The sequence below is a fragment of the Homo sapiens genome, chromosome 4 (assembly GCF_000001405.40).
Source record: "Homo sapiens chromosome 4, GRCh38.p14 Primary Assembly".
Lineage (NCBI taxonomy): Eukaryota > Metazoa > Chordata > Mammalia > Primates > Hominidae > Homo > Homo sapiens.
In genome coordinates, this window is record NC_000004.12 from 53,961,409 (window position 1) to 53,964,979 (window position 3,571).

The following is a 3,571-nucleotide window of genomic DNA, read 5'->3' on the forward strand; positions in this document are numbered from 1 at the left end:
TAGATTTTTTCCTATATCAAAGCAAGTCATAAATGTTATTTAAAAATTTAAACAAACATAAAAGGAAATCTACTCCTAGCTACACATCATTTCCCTGGCATCTACTTCACGAGAAGTATAACCATGGTTAACAATGTGTGGTTGTCCTTCTAGATGTTTCTCTGTGTGTGCATGTGTGTGAGTGTGTGTGTTGTTGTTGTTTTTAACAAAAATGTTATTCCACATTACATACTGCTGTGGTATTTGGGTTTTTTTTCCCCCATTGGATACACTAGAAACATCTTTCCAGGAAGAACTTTTTTTCAGTCTATAAATATTGCTTGAAAAATCTTCAAAAGTTACATTTCATTACTATACTTTTAGAAGATCACAGGTTTTTATTGTTTGTTTTTGTTATCATTCTTGGCCTTTATTAAACAGAGTAAAATTATAAGAAGTCAGGGATTGTCTAGGGCAGTGTTGCCCATTCAGGCTTTGTGTGATGCTGGAGATGTTCTTTACCTGTGCTGTCCAATACAGTAGCTGGCAGCCACTTGTGGTTGCTGGATACTTGAAATGTGATCAGTGTGACTGAGCAACTGACTGTACAATTTGCTTAATTTTAATTAATTTAGATGTGACTTTCAATAGCTGCATGTGACTCGTGACTACTGTATTGGATAGCATTTTTTTTTGGACAAATCGATCATCCACTCCCAAAGGACTTATAGAAAGAAACTTTGAATCCAAATGTCCTGGATTTGAACCCTAATTCCTTCTACTTGCCAGCTGTGTGACTTTGGATAACAATAGAAACACTTTATTGGGTTGTTATAAGGATTCAATGAGTTAATACTTGCAAAGCAATTGAACCAGTGCTTGAACATGCCATTAGAGCTCAACAAATATTAGGTATAGAATTCTTTCCTGAGAACAGGAACAGAGAGGAAAGAAAACTTTGGGTGGGGAAGGGGAGAAGGATGGAGAAAGGAAGTAGTGAGTGAATAAAAGGGTGCTTTATTCCCACAGTAAGGGTAGGGCAGAGTGCTACCAAACCACAATAGCCTCTCAATATTGCATAGAGCTTACCTTGACTGCAGTCTTAAAAAGATGAGGGAGGCAAAAGTATTGCCTGGAAAGTCGATTTTTTCAACCCTTTATAAAATTCCTCTTTTCTCTTCAGCTCTTTATTAAATTATGATAGGGTTGTGAGCAGCTCTGCAGGGCACCTCCCCTGCAGACCTGCCTGAACCCTGCCCAGGGCCAGGCCAGACAAAGCTCTGCTCAGGACAGCCACTGATTCACTCTCTAAGCCCAGGTGGCTGCACAGGCCTCCCAGAGCCTGTGGCAAACAGCAGGCACAGTGTCTCCAGCCCCCAGGGCAGTCCTTGTCCTGCATCTGTTTTTAAGGCTAATCCCAGCAAAGGGTGAGAAAGAAGAATCTAACTTTGTCACAGAAGCAGGATCCTCCTTCCCAAGGAAAAGTGGAGTCTGTATAGTTAGACTAAGTTGATGAAGTGAAGCAAGTATTTTTCTCGTGGGCTGTTTAAGAGGAGTTTACTGATTCAGACTGCAGGCCCCTCCTGCTACACACACACACCACCCCCGTGTCTAGGCTGTCTGGAATGTGTTTCTCTGGTTATCACCACCTCCTGAGACACTACTCTGAGCAGCAAAATCAATTGACTTATTTGTCTCTCTAACCCCTGCCCACTGAGTGATTCATGAATGATTTTTGAATGAGTCCTTAAAAATCCATTTCTATCACGTATGTTCTCTGAACACTAAGCATCTTTAACATTAGGAACAGGATTTAAAGCAGGGGGTATCTATTGTGTTATCAGTCTTGAGTTAGCACAGATTGTAAAATGCACCCCTTTCTTAGGGAAAGGCATCAACACTAAACCGGTCATTGGGATGCCTGGGTTCAAGCCAAGATTGCCCTCCGGCATGAATCTCAACTTCCTTTTTTTGGTAAAATGTGGCAGAGACACAGGTGACCTTCAAGATCCCTCAAACTTACACACATTGTACACTGCCCCAAGCTCTCAGGGTTGAGAAGATCCTCCCCACCTGGCGCCATTTTCCCAGCCAGGCAGCCCTTTTTCAAGACTTGCCGGATATTGTTGCTCTTACTGCAGCTTCTGAAAAAAGGGCCAGTTATTCCAGTGGCACAACAGAAAGGTCCACAACGGTTGTCTTCTATGGGAGCCAAACCCATCCCTCCAGGCCCTAGCTACAGTTCCGATCACCTCAGTTGCTTTTGAGGGGGGATTTTCATTTACAAACCCTATTCAGAGGCTTTTTGGATGCCTTCTGTCCTGGTGCAATGAAGCAGGCTGCCTTTTTTTCCACCAAATGTCCCAAAGGGAAATGACATTCACCAAGAATTTGGACAAACTTTTTGAGAAGAAGAAACAGTGTGAAAATTGCACAGATCCTTGTTACTTAAAGCATTTGAGAAGAAAACTGCAGGAAGTAGTAGATTCGGGACATAAAGGACATCATTTGCCTGCCTTATTATCTCATTTTTCAGTGAAGCTGACAGGACAGCTGCCTGTTATTACAGGGCACACCAGGAAATGTTTAGCTGCCAAACAGAAAAGAACGAGTGAGGGATTAACAGCCCTGTTCATGCCACACAAATAGAATTCTTGCACCTGGTAGTCACGCAGTTAGATTTATTATTTCATAGGGTATGTTACTTAAATCCCATTTACAAAGAAACAAAAACAACCCAAAAAGGCACCTTAATGATACTGTAATTATGAGAAGTATTAGTAACCATTTTGCAGTTTTTAGTCTAGATTAAATTAATTGGTGGTGGTTTTCATTTAATCACACTAATCTTTTATTTGGTTTCTATAATGTCGCAAACTTACTATTCTATGTTGCAAATCTAAAGCGTTCTTAAAAATGAAAGATCGATAACAGTTTAATCCTCCACAAGGCTGCTCTCATTAATGATGTTGTGTAACAATAGAGAGCTCTTTGCAAGGTGGCAGATCACCTACAGAAGTGAGATTTCAAAAAAGGAAATAATTTCCATCTCAGCTTCATTTCTAATATTAGGAGGTAGAGGGGACAGTTGGGGGCAGCCAACTCCTTGAGCTGCTATCAGAGATCAGAGAGGCTGCAGGGGGGATGGCAGGGCTCCTAAATGGCTTTTTTGTTCCCACCCAGAGTGAATTCACTTCCCTCGTGCCAAACTCCAGTAAGGAACCTGACGAGAGAAAAAGTTTAAGATCCTGTGAAAACCACCCTTTACTATCACTGATCATGTACTTTATCAGATGATTCTTTGAATTAATTAAAAACAAAACTCCTCTTGGAGCCTTGCTGCTTAAATCCTTAAAGCATTAGGGTAGAAGCTTGAGACTGTTAACTCTTCATTTTCCTGTAGCATCTGTTATGGACTGATTGTGTGTATCCATAAGATTCATAGGTTGAAATCTTAACTCCCAATGCTATGGTATTAGGAGGTGGGGACTTTGGAGGTGATTAGGTTAGAGCCCTCTTGAATAGGATTAGTGCTCTTAAAAGAAGAGACACACGAGGGTTCTCTCTCTCTCTTTTCCTTTCTCTCTCATTC

General features: G+C 41.1%; 2 annotated features.

Annotated features, from left to right (window-relative positions):
* Window positions 785-1,313: an enhancer, noted in NCBI's record as "H3K4me1 hESC enhancer chr4:54828360-54828888 (GRCh37/hg19 assembly coordinates)". NCBI's record gives its function as "activates a minimal SCP1, AML or CMV promoter by ChIP-STARR-seq in primed H9 embryonic stem cells {active_cell/tissue: H9 hESC(primed)}" and the evidence as "EXISTENCE:reporter gene assay evidence [ECO:0000049][PMID:30033119]".
* Window positions 1,314-1,841: an enhancer, noted in NCBI's record as "H3K4me1 hESC enhancer chr4:54828889-54829416 (GRCh37/hg19 assembly coordinates)". NCBI's record gives its function as "activates a minimal SCP1, AML or CMV promoter by ChIP-STARR-seq in primed H9 embryonic stem cells {active_cell/tissue: H9 hESC(primed)}" and the evidence as "EXISTENCE:reporter gene assay evidence [ECO:0000049][PMID:30033119]".